At 44.8% G+C, this 13,878-nt stretch overlaps 1 long non-coding RNA gene across 1 annotated transcript in view; it reads left to right on the top strand.

The window, feature by feature from the left end:
* Positions 1-3,139: 3,139 nt before the first annotated feature.
* LOC101927066 (uncharacterized) overlaps positions 3,140-13,878 on the top strand; it is a 494,634-nt gene continuing 483,895 nt past the window's right edge. The window contains exon 1 of the long non-coding RNA NR_125390.1: positions 3,140-3,511. This is a non-coding gene — a long non-coding RNA (uncharacterized LOC101927066). The remainder of the gene's footprint in view (positions 3,512-13,878) is intronic.

Genomic DNA, 13,878 nt, shown 5'->3' with positions numbered 1-13,878 from the left:
AAACTCCAGAAGAGAAACAAGGTGGGGAACAGGTCCCCCTTTTCTCTTCCTCACAGGGAAACTTAATCAGCAGTCCTCATTGAAGGCTCAGGTCCTCCTTGCCACAAATCCCCTCCTCAAAGGGATCTTAAGGCTTTGGGCAGGGTGTGAATTCATATTTCCTCAATGACCTTGCAGCCAAAGACCACTGGGCACACACCTGTGTTTGAACAAGTTGAGTTTATTGCTGGTTGCAATGAGGGAGACCACACCATAGGGAACTGTGGGGAGCCTCAGCAGAAGGATGTTTCAAAAGACCTATTAGAAGGTTTCGGCTTGTGTTTGGTGATTTGGGGGAGGGTTAAAAAAATTGGGATTATAGGCTGGGCGCAGTGGCTCACGCCTGTAATCGCAGCACTTTGGGAGGCCGAGGCGGATGGATCACAAGGTCAGGAGATGGAGACCATCCTGGCTAACACGGTGAAACCTGATCTCTACTAAAAATACAAAAAAATAGCCGGGCGTGGTGGGCACCTGTAGTCCCAGCCACTTGGGAGGCTGTGGCAGGAGAATGGCGTAAACCTGGGAGGCAGAGCTTGCAGTGAGCTGAGATCATGCCACTGCACTCCAGCCTGGGCGACAGACTGAGACTCTGTCTCAAAAAAAAAAAAAAAAAAAAAATTTGGGATTGCAGATGTCCATCAATGCTGGTTTGAATAAAGAAAATGTGATACATGTGTACCATGGAATACTACACAGCTGTAAAAAGTAATGAAATCATGTCCTTTGCAGCAACATGGGTGGAGCTGGAGGCCATTATCCTAAGCAAATTAACACAGGAACAGAAAACCAAATACCACATGTTCTCACTTATAAGTAGGAGCTAATCATTGTCCATGACATATGGACATAAAGATGGTAACAATGAACACTGGGGATTTCAAATAGGAAGGGAGGGAAGGATTGAAAACTACCTATGAGGTACTGTGTTCCTACTTGGCGATGGGATCATTAGAAGCTCAAACCTCTGCATCACACAACATACCCAAATAATAAACCTGCCCATGTATCCCCTGAATCTAAAATAAAATTTTTTTAAAAAGGAAAATCAGGATTAGATGCGTTTAAGACCTGGATGCTTTCAGGAAGCAGGGGGATTTTATTGTTGGGTATCTTAAACAGGCCTCTATAAGGTAGGAGTAAGGAATCAGGCCAGAGCTCTGATTGGTAAAGAAGCAGCTGTCTGGCTGGGCGCGGTGGCTCACATCTGTAATCCCACCACTTTGGGAGGCCGAGGCAGGCGGATCACCTGAGGTCGGGAGTTCGAGACCAGCCTGACCAACATGGAGAAACCCTGTCTCTACTAAAAATACAAAATTAGCCGGGCGTGGTGGCGCATACCTGTAATCACAGCTACTCGAGAGGCTGAGGCAGGAGAATCGCTTGAACCCGGGAGGTGGAGGTTGTGGTGAGCCGAGATCGCGCCATTGCACCCTAGACTAGGCAACAAGAGTGAAACTCTGTCTCAAAAAAAAAAAAAAAAAAGAAAAGAAAAAAGGAAAAAGCAGCAGCTGTCACTCATTAGCACAACAGGGGGATGTCCGGTCATTTTTGTGCGTTGAACAATGTTTATATTTTTGTCCATGCTCAGGCATGTTTATGGAGTGTTCTTGTTTTTGCTTTGATTCATTACAGTTGTGGAGTGGACTGGCGTGATATTGGGGTTCTGTGAAATTGTCTGTGTTCAACAAGACTATGAGTGCCAACACCAGCTCCTAGCAGCACCAAGTCCTGGCTGACAGAACCAGGCCATTTCTGGGATGTTAGGACCTGTTTTTCTTGTTCTCAATTTGGTACACTCTGTACAGCTATATTGATTGTTAAAATATAGAAATACTTCTGTACTGCGTAGTATTTAGCCATGGCCATGAGCCTTCTGAGGGCTTTCTCATCTCCCTGCCTGGTGCCTGCTTCCCCCAGACCTCCCCACAACCCACTGGTTAGTGGTAGAGCGGGAAACCTTCTAGACCTTGCTGCAGTTCAACCGCTAGTGTCTGTTCTGATGAGTCAGTGCTGTGTGGTCCCGTTTGGTAACATTTTCAACATTACCTGGTTTTGAGTTTGTAGCTTCTCTCTACATTAAGATTGAGAAGGGACAAGAAGACAGAAGAAAGAAGAGAGAAACAAAAGGCAAAAGAGTGAAGTGTAAATAAGTGAGGGTGAAGATAGGAAAGGGTGAAAGACGTCTAGAACATGAAGAAGGCTGGACGTGGTGGCTAAGGCGGGTGGATCACCTGAGGTCAGGAGTTCGAGACCAGCCTGGCCAACGTGGTGAAACCCCTTCTCTACTAAAAATACAAAATTAGCTGGGCATGGTGGCACATACCTGTCATCCCAGCTACTCAGGAGGCTGAGGCAGGAGATTTGCTTGAATCTGGGAGGCAGAGGTTGCAGTGAGCCGAGATTGTGCCACTGCACTACAGCCTGGGTGACAGAGTGAGAGTCCATCTCAAAAAAAAAAAAAAAAAAGAAAATGAAGCAGAAATGAGGCCTGAAAAGTGAACTTAACAAAGGGTTTAAAAAAAAAAAAAACCCTGAAAAGAAAGAGGTGAGAAGGAAGGGAGGAAGAGAAGAAGGGGACTGAGAACCAGAGGAAGGAAAGGAAAATTCAGGCCAAGGCACCCCCTTATGTTACACTGCGGTTCAGTTATACTGAATATGTCTCAGAATGAGTTCGCTACCAGCTGGAGCTTAGAAAACAATCATTTCATTCAACAGAAGTTTGGGTTGGAGTTGGATCAAATTTGACAGAGTTTAACCTGTAAAGAAAAGAAGGAAATGGAACTCCGCAGTCTGACGGCCACTTATGGCCAAGCGTTCTGGAAGCTGTTAGAATCCGCAGCTTGGCGCCTTCACCGCTTTTCTTTCTGTTTGCATCCCATGATGCTCTTTTCAATCACAACTTGCATGGTTCCTGTGCAGGTATGAAAAATCTCACTGTCTTTGAGTTGGGATGAAAAACAGTGAGTGTTTCCCTGCCAAGTCTCCGATAGAAGGCAGTGCGAACAGATGGTGGAGGAAGCTGCACAGAGAACCTTGGTTCACCCCACCGTGATGTGAGCAGGGAATCACACACGAAGGCTCTTTCTCTTCCTCCTGTGAATAACTTTTACAAATAACCAGCAGGAACCGGGGAGTCGGTGGTGGGGGCACGCATGAGTTTCCTTTCCTCTGAAGCCTTGGTTCTTTAAATTGGCAGCATAACCACTGTTCCCGTGCACACACGGATATTTGAAGGCATCAGTGAAAAGGATGCAGGGTAAACATGAAGCAGAGGACACGGTGGGTTGGCAGATGTGGGCTGGGTCCTGGAAGCTCACATGGACCTGGAAGTTTATTCCATCCTGAGTTCTCGTCGTGGCTCTGTGTGTTCTGCTTCTCTGGGAATCTCGGGCAGTTGGAGTCTTTCTGTACACTTCTCAGTGCCTGGCTGTGTGGGGTAGAAGCAAGTATTTGTGAAACTCGGGCCAAGGTAAGGTAGGTAAGATACTCATGGTGTGAATTTTCCATTAAATTTTTCTTTAGAGATTGTTTTTCCTGAGAGAGAAATTTGTGTGCTATTACACATGTCTTTAAAAAGCCCCCATCAGCCCGGGCGCGGTCGCTCACGCCTGTAATTCCAGTACTTTGGGAGGCCGAGGCGGGCAGATCAAGAGGTCAGGAGTTTGAGAGTGGCCTGGCCAATATGGTGAAACCTCATTTGTACTAAAAATACAAAAATTAGCCGGGTGTGGTGGCGTGCGCCCATAGTCCCAGCTACTCTGGAGGCTGAGGCAGGAGAATCACTTGAACCCGGGAGGCGGAGCTTGCAGTGAGCTGAGATCGCGCCACTGCACTCCAGCCTGGGTGACAGAGCGAGACTCCGTCTCAAAAAAAAAAAAAAAACAAAAGCCCCCACCAGCTCTGGGTCTTCTTTGTGTGCGTGTTGTGTTTTGTGTTAAGAAAATCACTGTTGATGTTGTTCTTCCAGGGGTTGCGGGGGATGGGGTTGGGGGAGGTCCTTTATCTAGGCACTAGATGTGTGATGTGTCTAAATTTCTTTTTCTCTGCTTTACATTTTTGGCTGGGTGAATATTCCTGGAGAGATGGATTTCCTTCCTGGTCATGTAGGAATCAGACATTTTCACAGAAGAGAGTTGCTCTGAGACCCCAAATACCTTATGTTTACTTCCATGGAGACACTCATGTGTATTGGAGATAACAGTGTGTATTGTATGAAGCGGCAACATTTTATCCAGCAATCCCAAACCTGATCATATTTTTTCATTCCTAATCCCTTAAACGGGCCCCAGAACCTCAGGAGAAAGCCCAGATCCCTGTAAGATTTGCTTCCTCTGCAATTCTCTTGCCTCATGTCTCCCCAGTCCCCCTAAAGTTGCCTCCATCCTCTCCCACGAAAATCCTGGACATCGCTCAGAATCAGCCCTTCTGGGTCTTGCTTTTCTGCTAACGCATGGGCTGTTTCTCTGTTCCATAAGAAAGCCCTCATGGAACATGGGCGTTCCATGGGGAAAAGGGAGCCAGGCTGGTGGAATGAAGGGAAAGCAAAAAGAGAAAGGAAGTGAGCAACAAGTCCACCTTTCTGCATGGTCCAGGACACACAGCCCTCCTGTGAAAGTAACTCACAATTTTCCTGTGCCCAACCCTCACCAGACACCTGCAAGTCAGCTCCCTGCAGCCCAACCTTGGCGTTACCAGTGCTGCACAAAGCCTCCTTCAACAGACAGCGTACACACCATCCCATACACTCTCCAGCCAGCCTTTGTTTCTTCACAGTCAGCTTCTGCGGACTTGCCCGTTGTCTCTCTGGCCACGTATTTTCCTACTTTCTCAAATAAATCTGCCTTCCTTTACCTACAACTGTCTTGGTAAATTCTTTCACCCTCACACCACCGGCCATCATTCCCCCATGACAGAACACACTTTTTAATCGAGCAGAAAGGACATGTGGCAAGGAGAAGCAATGTGCTCAGGGTGTTTTGGGGTTTATTACGAGGATGCTCATGAAATCATGAGAAACAGAAAATTGTCTTAGTCAGTGACACTGCCCGAACTCACAAAAAACAGGAATGATAGGAATGATCTTTGGGAATGAGGCCACAGTTCAGTGGCCTCATATGAGATAAACCATATACCGTGGTTTATCTCGTTCTGGGATCCCTCGGCCAGTGTTCTGTCTCACTGAGTCTTAGCGGCTTCTGTCCATGTCGCTGTTCTGACATGACTGACTCACTCTGTTCTCTACCTCTAGGCTCAGCTTGTCACGTCTTCTGCTTACTGCTTTCTTCCAAGTGAGTTTTTCCACGTCTGTTGCCCCTGTGTCTGTTTTCCTTTCTGTGTCTCACATTTGAAATTCCCTGAGAGAGGTACTCTGTCTAGGCAGTCAGCGTGCAGGATAGAATGGCACCAATGAGCTGGGCTTTGTTCTGGGCCACCTCCTGTAGGGCACTGGCCAACCATAGGGTAGCTGCCCTTAGGTCAGATGCTAATCCCTGGTCCAGTCACCTGTGACCAAGGTAGCAGAGTTACCTGGTACGAAATGTGTCAACCTGGGATAAGAAGCCTCAGAGAGGCGCTGCTGGTGGGTTGGTATAGTCAAGATTTTCAGAAATAATAATATAAGATAGCAAATAAGTGTGGCATTAGTAAAATATGCAATTAGTACTCTAGATGAGGCCAGAAGAGGCTGAGATCGTGATGGTCTGGGGTGGGCTTTCCTCTGCTTACAGTCTCAGGGACAACCTTCTCTGAAAGGCACAAGGTTTTTTGTGAGATCAGGCGCCTGCTTGCCTTGCCAGCTTCACTGCCAGCCCCACAAATGCTATGTTCCAGCCACTGGGGCTCCTGGCAACCTCTGGATGATATCTCTGGATGATAGCGACATGTGCATGCAGGGGCACTAGGAAGAACTCCAATTATTCTTTAATTTTGAGATGAAACTTTTTTTTCTTTTCTGAAATCTTACCCTACTCCAGACACTTAATATCTCTTCTGTTCCCCGCAGCCCTCTGTACCTGCCTTTATTACAGCACCTAGGGCACTGGGCTATGATTATCGGTTGACATGTCCACTTTGCTCACTAGATGTATGGGAAAGGGACTGATTGTGATTATTATTATTTTTTTTCAGGCAGAGCCTCGCTCTGTCACCCAGGCTGGAGTGCAGTGGCATGATCTCGGCTCACTGCAACCTCTGCCTCCCAAGCTCAAGTGATTCTCCTGCCTCAGCCTCCTAAGTAGCTGGGATTACAGGTGCACTCCACTACCGCCCGGCCAATTTTTGTATTTTTAGGAGAGATGAGGTTTCGTCATCTTGGCCAGGTGAGCCACTGTGCTTGGCTGGGACTGATTGTGATTTACTCATCTCTGGATCCCAGCAATGAGGCCAGTGCTTGGTACCTACCACTACTGCTAGGACTAGCTCATGGTTTTGGAGCTATTAGTCTGCTCCTTGCACAATTCCAAAAGTGTTATATGTATTAACTAATTTAATCCTTCCAAGAACCTTGTAAATAGGAGCCGTAAATATCATCATTTTATGTTTTGGGAAGTTGAAGCATGGACAGGTTGAGAAACTTGCCTGAGGTCGCGTGGTTAATAAGTGGTGGAATCAGGATTCAAATCAGGCAAATTGTTCCGGAGTCTGTGCCTTGCCCACTGAGCAATACTGCCTCTTAGCAATAAATATTGTAGAAGAGTTAGTAGGCATTCAGTTAGTATTGAGGAAATAAAGAAGCCATTACTGGGGCTTTGAGGGTGAAGGAAAAGGCAGGGGAAAACATTCTAGGGGAGGGAAAGAGGCATGTGAGAACATCCACAGGACAGTGTGTGAGCTTGGAGGGCAGAGCTGAACTTGTCAGTAGGACCACATCAAAGCGCAAGACAAGGGGCAGGGCTTTTGAGGAAGGTAGTGACATGATTAAAGGGAAATTTAAAGAAGATCAATCTGGCTTCAGGGTACAAGATAGTTTAAAATGGGAAGGGAATGAACACAACTAGGAGGCCATGGACATAGTCTCCTGAGGCAATAGAGTGATGGGTTATTAGCATGGACCTGGGCTCAGAGGAATGAGGGGTCTGAGTCCAGCTTCTGTCACTTGTCATTGTGTAGCCTCTCTCAGTCTCCAAGCTCCTGTTTCTTCATCTACAAAAGAGGAATTATTACTCACCTCTTAGGTTGTGGTAAGGATTTAAAGGCATGTTTGCCAAGGGCTTAGCACAGAACCCTGACCTTATTCTCCTTTTGTCTTGGGTCAAGATGATAAGGGCTTGTGCTTGTGTAGTAGCACTGGCAAGAAAGTAAATGGGAAAATGAGACTCAGTAGAACTTGCTGATTGATGGCTGCTGAAAAATTGAGGCAAGGAAGGGTCAGTGAGTGAACGGTCAGTGCAGGGGGTGAACTCAGAGGGCCTGGGTTCTGGGTCTGGTTTTGTCACTGCTTTGGCCACATCACTCATCTACATTGCTGGATCTCAGTTCCTCCTCTAGAATGTAAAAATGGTAGACTGACAGTTGCTCATTTTTCTTCCCGCTTGGAATGCTATGACGACATGGCTTGGGGGTGGGAGTCTGGACAACTGGGAGAATATAAAAGATGCCGAGCTCTGCCTTCCTTTTCAAAGAGGTCGCCAACCCCCTTTTATTAATCCTGTCCTTTGTCCTCTCTTTGATTTGGAAATATCATTTTTTCGTTCTGGGAAAATGACTCTGAAATCTCAGCCACTGATAGAAGGCTTGGTTACTGCAGCAGAGGGTGAATCAGAGATAAGCCTTTTTTTTTTTTTTTTTTCTGGAGTCTTCTAGTCTCCCGATCCTGACTTGAGCTTCCTCATTTCTCTGAGGGGCAGAAGAAGCTGACTTCTCCAGTAATTTACCCTGTGTTTTCCTCCCTGCGGGCAGAACCCATGATCTTCTTGGTCAGCTTCACAGCTGGTTTGTGGCGATGCTTTTTGGATGTCTTTCCCCTTGGATGTTCAAGCTCAGCGTCCTCAAAGAGAAAGAAAGTGGGGCCTGTACCCAGCAAGGTACACATGCAGTCCCCTGCTAATCAATGTTTTCATATTGTGAGCACTTCTTGCCTGGATTACATTCACTGTGGGTGAAATTAAATATCTGAGCAGTTGCTGAAGCCTTTAGTGAGCTTGTTTCCATGGCAGCTTTCAGAGGCCTCCTCCAAAAAAAGGAGTAGTTTATTTTCAATTAACAAAGGGCAAAGAGGTCTTTACTGCAGTTTTGCTTATGGGAATTTCAGATAAAATTTCCCAGCCCTACAGGTGCCATACAATCTCTCACCCACTTATCTTTATGGAGCTGTGAGGAGGATTGTTGATTTCTGTTAACAGTGCAACACCCCAGACACAGCATGCTGGTGATATGGACCAACAAAAGGATGTTAGTTCTTAATAAAAAAAGGGAAACATTATGAAATTGAGCTACTGGGCATTAATAAAGTACCTACTGATAATTCCACCTGCTAGAGATGGCAAATTTTCATTCTTTCAGAGTTCTGGGTTGGGTATCAAGGCTGGATGTCTGCTTTGTAGAAGAGTGAATTGTAGCATTCTTTGAGCTGCTGACCAAAGGCATAAGTCCAATCAACCGCCACATTAAACATTCCAGGAATCACAGCCTCTCTGAGGAAGAAAAAGTAGTTATTACCAGGTATGCTCCGTAAAAGGGCAGCTCACCACTTGGAAATTTACCAAAATGCAATTGACAGAATAGGAAATAATTTTGCCCTAGAGCCTCAGAAAGTGAGGCTTATGATCTGAGGGATTTGGCTTACCTTTCTGGTTATGGGTTTTCATCCAAAAATTAGCCTGGGAAGTTCCTCTTATCTTTTCTGCTCTTCAGTATTTTTGAGTTGCCCCCTTACTGGTTTCTGGTAGAGATGGGGTCTTGCTATGTCATCCAGGCTGGTCTTGAACTCCTGGCCTCAAACAATCCTCCCTTCCTTGGCCTCCCAAAGTGCTGGGATTATAGGTATAAGCCACCACACCTGGCCTTAAGTTGTTGTTTCTACAACATTTCATTTTTCTTTGATTTCAGCTGGAAGATTGATCTGAGCAACCTAGCTGTTTTTTTCCAGACACTGCAAGTCTTGAGTGGTCTTTCAAAATGCAAGTCTGTGCAGGTTTCTTATTATCCACTGCTGTCATTCTCAAAAAGGCTTGCTTGTTAAACTTTATTTATTTCCAGTTGGACTCTAGGCATCACTTTGAGAAACTTCTAGAACAAAGTTCAAGCTGCTCAGCATGGAAAACAAGGCCTCTTCCTACTCCCCAGACCTATCTTCTTCTACTCCCTACTTCTCATTCCCACACTGTGTTCCAAAAATATGAATAAACTTAAAGGTACAGTAGTCCCCCTTATCCACAGGTTCACTCTCCTCAACAGTAGTCCAAAAATATTAAATGGAAAATTCCAGAAATAAGCAATTCATAAGTTTTAAATTGCACACTGTTCTGAATAGCGTGATGAAACCTCTCACTGTCCTTCCTGAGATGTGAATCCTCCCTTTGTCCAGCATACCCATGCTGTGGACACGCTCCCTGACTGTTAGTCACTTAGCAGCCAGCTTGGTTATCAGATTCACTGTGATGGTACCACAGTGTTTGTGTTCAAGTGACCCTTAGTTTACTTAATAATGGCCCCAAAGCACAAGAGCAGTGATGTTGGCAATATTGCTATAATTGTTCTATTTTATTATTAGTTGTTGATGTTAATCTGTTATTGTGCCTAAGTTATAAATTAAACTTTATCGTAGGCATGTATGTATGTATGTATGTATGTATGTATGTATAGGAAGAAACACAGTATATACAGGGGTTGGTCCTATCTGTGGTTTCAGGCATCCATTGGGAGTCTTGGGATATGTCCTCCAAGGATAAGGACAGATGACTGTACCTGAATACAGTGCACCTTTTCACACCGCTGTGCCTTTGCACATGCAATCCCTGCTAAATACAATGCCCTTTCTCTTTGCCCATGAGGCAAATGCTTATTCATCTTTCAAAAGCCAGCTCAGAGGCGGCCTCCTTTGGGAAGTCCCCTGGAGTGCCCTCTCCCCACACCTTGTAGTTGATCCTCCCTTTGATTGTGGCAAACTTCACACACAATTCTGTGAATATTTACCATACTGTTGTAATTTCCTTTTGTACAAGATTTCAAACTGTTTGAGGGCAGGGATTAGAATTATCTCATCTATGTTTTATCCAACCCTGAATTCAGTACCTAGCACATTGTTGATGCTCAATATAGTTTTGCTAGATGATTAAATGAATGAAGCACATAATTAGGTAATCCAGATACTCAGCCCCAGCAGGAAGAACACTGCCATGACTTCTGACACTACCCAGAGTTAAGCCAAACTACAGATTAAAGGCTCAGCCCTCCGTAAGACTACTCTCACTTCAGATACTGGCTGCAAATCTGGAGGTCTCTAGGCTGCATTTACATCTGACAAACTGGCTACAAATTTGGAAGCTTATACCCCTCAGTTTTGGTAATTTGCTAGAAGGACTTATAGAACTCAGGAAATTGCACAGTTATGACTGTGGGTTTTGTTATAGCAAAAAGAATACAATTTAGAACCAGCCCAGAGAAGATAGACATAGGTGAGTTCTGAGAAAAGCTTCTGTGTCCTCTCCCTGTGGAGTCAGGAAGTATTTTCCTTTCAGTACACCAGATACAACAGTACCTTTCAGTACAACAGACACTCTGTAGTGTGACAGAGTATCACCACCAGGGAACTCACCTGATCTTGGTGTTCTGAGTTTTTATTAAGGTTTCATTATGTAGACAGGATTGATTGAATCATTGGCTATATGATTGAACTCAATCTTCAGCCTTCCTTTTCTTCCTAAAGGCTGGGCTGATACCGTGTGGCTCAAAGCACCAAACCTCTGATCGCGTCATTGTTCTTTCTGGTATGGCTAGTCCCGATCCTGAGTTATCTCTCTATTATAAACTATCTAGGGGGTCCACCATGAGTCACGGTCCACCATGAGTCACCTCATTAGCCTAAACAACTATCAGGGGACCCACCATGAATAACAAAGACACTCTTATCATTTGGGAAATTTTAAGGATTTAGACACTGCCTTCCAGGACCTGGAGACAGAGGCCAAGTTCTTTATTACACGGGAAATGCTTTCAGCAATGATTTGGATAGAGTTGGTGCCCAGGGATATAATCTGGTGGGTAGAGCCCACAGCAGGGAGTCCAAATGGACACCTGACACTAGAGAGGCAGGTGAGTTGCATGTAACAGCTGACATTTAGAAATAGCTGCCCTTAGATTATAGGCAGAAATCATTCAGTGTTGGACACATAGTAGGTGCTTAATATTAAAGAGTTTGTTAAATTAGTGAAATGAGTGTGAGTTGGATGTCAATGGATGTGTAAACTTGGACAGATGAAAAATAGGTGAGGAGGATAGGAGGATGTTTCCAGAACCAACTTGTCAAAGGCCAGAGCAAGGATGCAGGTGGCAAGTTCAGGAGCATGACTGTGGGTTCCTGCAGGACTGGAAGGGGAAGTAGGATGACTAGGAGCAGAACTCACAGATCCTTGAGTACTGGTATTAGTACATCGGTTTGGTCACTTTAATAGAAATCAAGGTAGAAGATTTAGTTCTAAGTCCTGTAAATGTCCAAGCTGGTAGGTGACCCAGGGAGGTGATTTGTTCTGCTTCACAGAGGTATCCAGAGTCCCACGTGCCTTCATTTTATTGTGCTTCTGTCCCCTGAGATATCTTCTGCATGGTTGAATCTGGTTCATTCCTACCCCATCTCTCTTCTAGTGCATGGAAAGGAAGAAAGAGGACATAGGCCGAGCATGGTAGCTCGTACCTGTAATCCCAGCACTTTGGGAGGCCGAGGAGGGAGGATTGCTTGAGGTCAGGAGTTTGAAACCAGTCTGGGAAACATAGTGAGACCCTGTCTCTACAAATATTATGTATAAAAAATTAGCTGGGTGTGATGGCTCGTGCCTGTAGTCCCAGCCACTCGGGAGGCTGAGACTGTAGTCCCTTCACCTTGGGAGGTGGGAGGATCTCTTGAGTCCAGGAATTTGAGGCTGCAGTGAACTATGATCATGCTACTGCACTCCAGCCTGGGCGACAGAGCAAGACCCAGTTCCTGTTTCAAAAAAAAAAAAAAAAAAAAGACATAGAGGGCAAGCAATTTTCTTTTAAGAAGATGATCTAGACATTGCCCACAGTATTTTTCCTCACGTCTCATTAGCTAGAAAGTAGTCATATGGAAACATAGAAAATGTAGACTGTAGCTGAAAAACCTTGTGCCCAGTTAAAACGTAGGTGTGTGTGGGGGAGGGCAAGGGTTGTATTAAAAAAAAGTAAGGAGAGAGTGGATATTGGGGAAAAGTTAGCAGACTATGTCATTCCAGCCTAAAGTGTTTAGACTTCAAATCACAGGATAGTGAGACCTGGAGAGAGTTTTGAGAAGAAATGATCATGCTCAGTTCTAAATGACTTCTAGAGCCACCTTACAATTTCAATTGTAGTATGATAATGTAAATAAGACACTCGTATTATGAAAGCAAGCAATGTATATGGTTGTGTGTGTGGTTGACAAAGAGACATAAGGGAAGTATTCTCTAAAGAACTGACCATTTATTTTCTTTCTCTTTTCTTTTTTTTTTTGAGACAGGGTCTCACTCTGTCACTGAGGCTGGAGTGCAGTGGTGCGATCATGGTTCATGCAGCCTCAATCTCCTGGGCTCAGGTGATCCTCCACCTCAGCCTCCCGAGTAGCTGGGACCACAGGCGTGTGCTACCATGCCCAGCTAATTTTTATTTATTTTATTATTATTTTTTTTTGTAGAAACAGGGTCTTGCCATGTTGCCAAGGCTAGTCTTGAACTCATGGGCTCAAGCAGTCCTCCTGCCTCGGCCTCCCAAAGTGCTGAGATTACAGGCATGGGCCACTGCACCCAGCCAACAGTGTACTTTAGATCTAAACTCTGATAATATTAAATAAGCAAGAGGAGAGGGAATAGTGTTTCATGCAAAAGAACCTGTATGTACAAGTGCCCTGAGGCAGGTTAGAACATGGTGACTAAGAATAAGTAAGTCTAGTGTAAGTGAAATGGAGTGAGCGCTAAGTAATATGGTACAAAATGATTATCGAAGGCTGGGCGCGGTGGCTCACGCCTCTAATCCCAGCACTTTGGGAGACCGAGGCGAAAAGATCACTTGAGGTAAGGAGTTCGAGACCAGCCTGGCCAGCATGGCAAAACCCCATCTCTACCAAAAATACAAAAATTATCCCGGCATGGTGGTGTGTACCTGTAGTCCCAGCCACTTGGGAGGCTGAGTCAGGAGAATCACTTGAACCTGGGAGGTGGAGGTTGCAGTGAGCTGAGATTGTGCCGCTGCACTCCAGCCTGGGTAACAGAGTAAGACTCCATCTCAAAATAAATAAATAAATAAATAAATAAATAAATAAATAAATAAATAAATAAAATAAAATAAAATAAAACAAAACAAAACAAAATGATTATCGAAAGGCAATAAAGGGTCTTTTAAGGATGTCAGTCTCAGACCTAAGGATAGTGGGAATCCTTTGAAGTATTTTAAGCAGGTAAGTATTTCAAATATATTCGTGTTGTTGAGTGTAGAGAAACATTAGAAGGGAGCAAAGGTAGACGAGGTGTCAGCAAGCATTGTAATCTACATTAATTGAGTGATGGGTACCCTAACAGTCCTGACTTGACCACTAAGCAGTCTATACATGTAACAAAATTGCACGTGTACCATATACATTTGTATCAAAAGTTGAAAATTTATTCTTATGAGTAGACCTGTAGTACAAAATTA

This window comes from Homo sapiens, chromosome 8 (genome assembly GCF_000001405.40).
Source record: "Homo sapiens chromosome 8, GRCh38.p14 Primary Assembly".
NCBI classification, from domain to species: domain Eukaryota; kingdom Metazoa; phylum Chordata; class Mammalia; order Primates; family Hominidae; genus Homo; species Homo sapiens.
The sequence above is the reverse complement of the archived record's forward strand: the minus strand, read 5'-3'. Positions and strand labels throughout refer to the sequence as shown.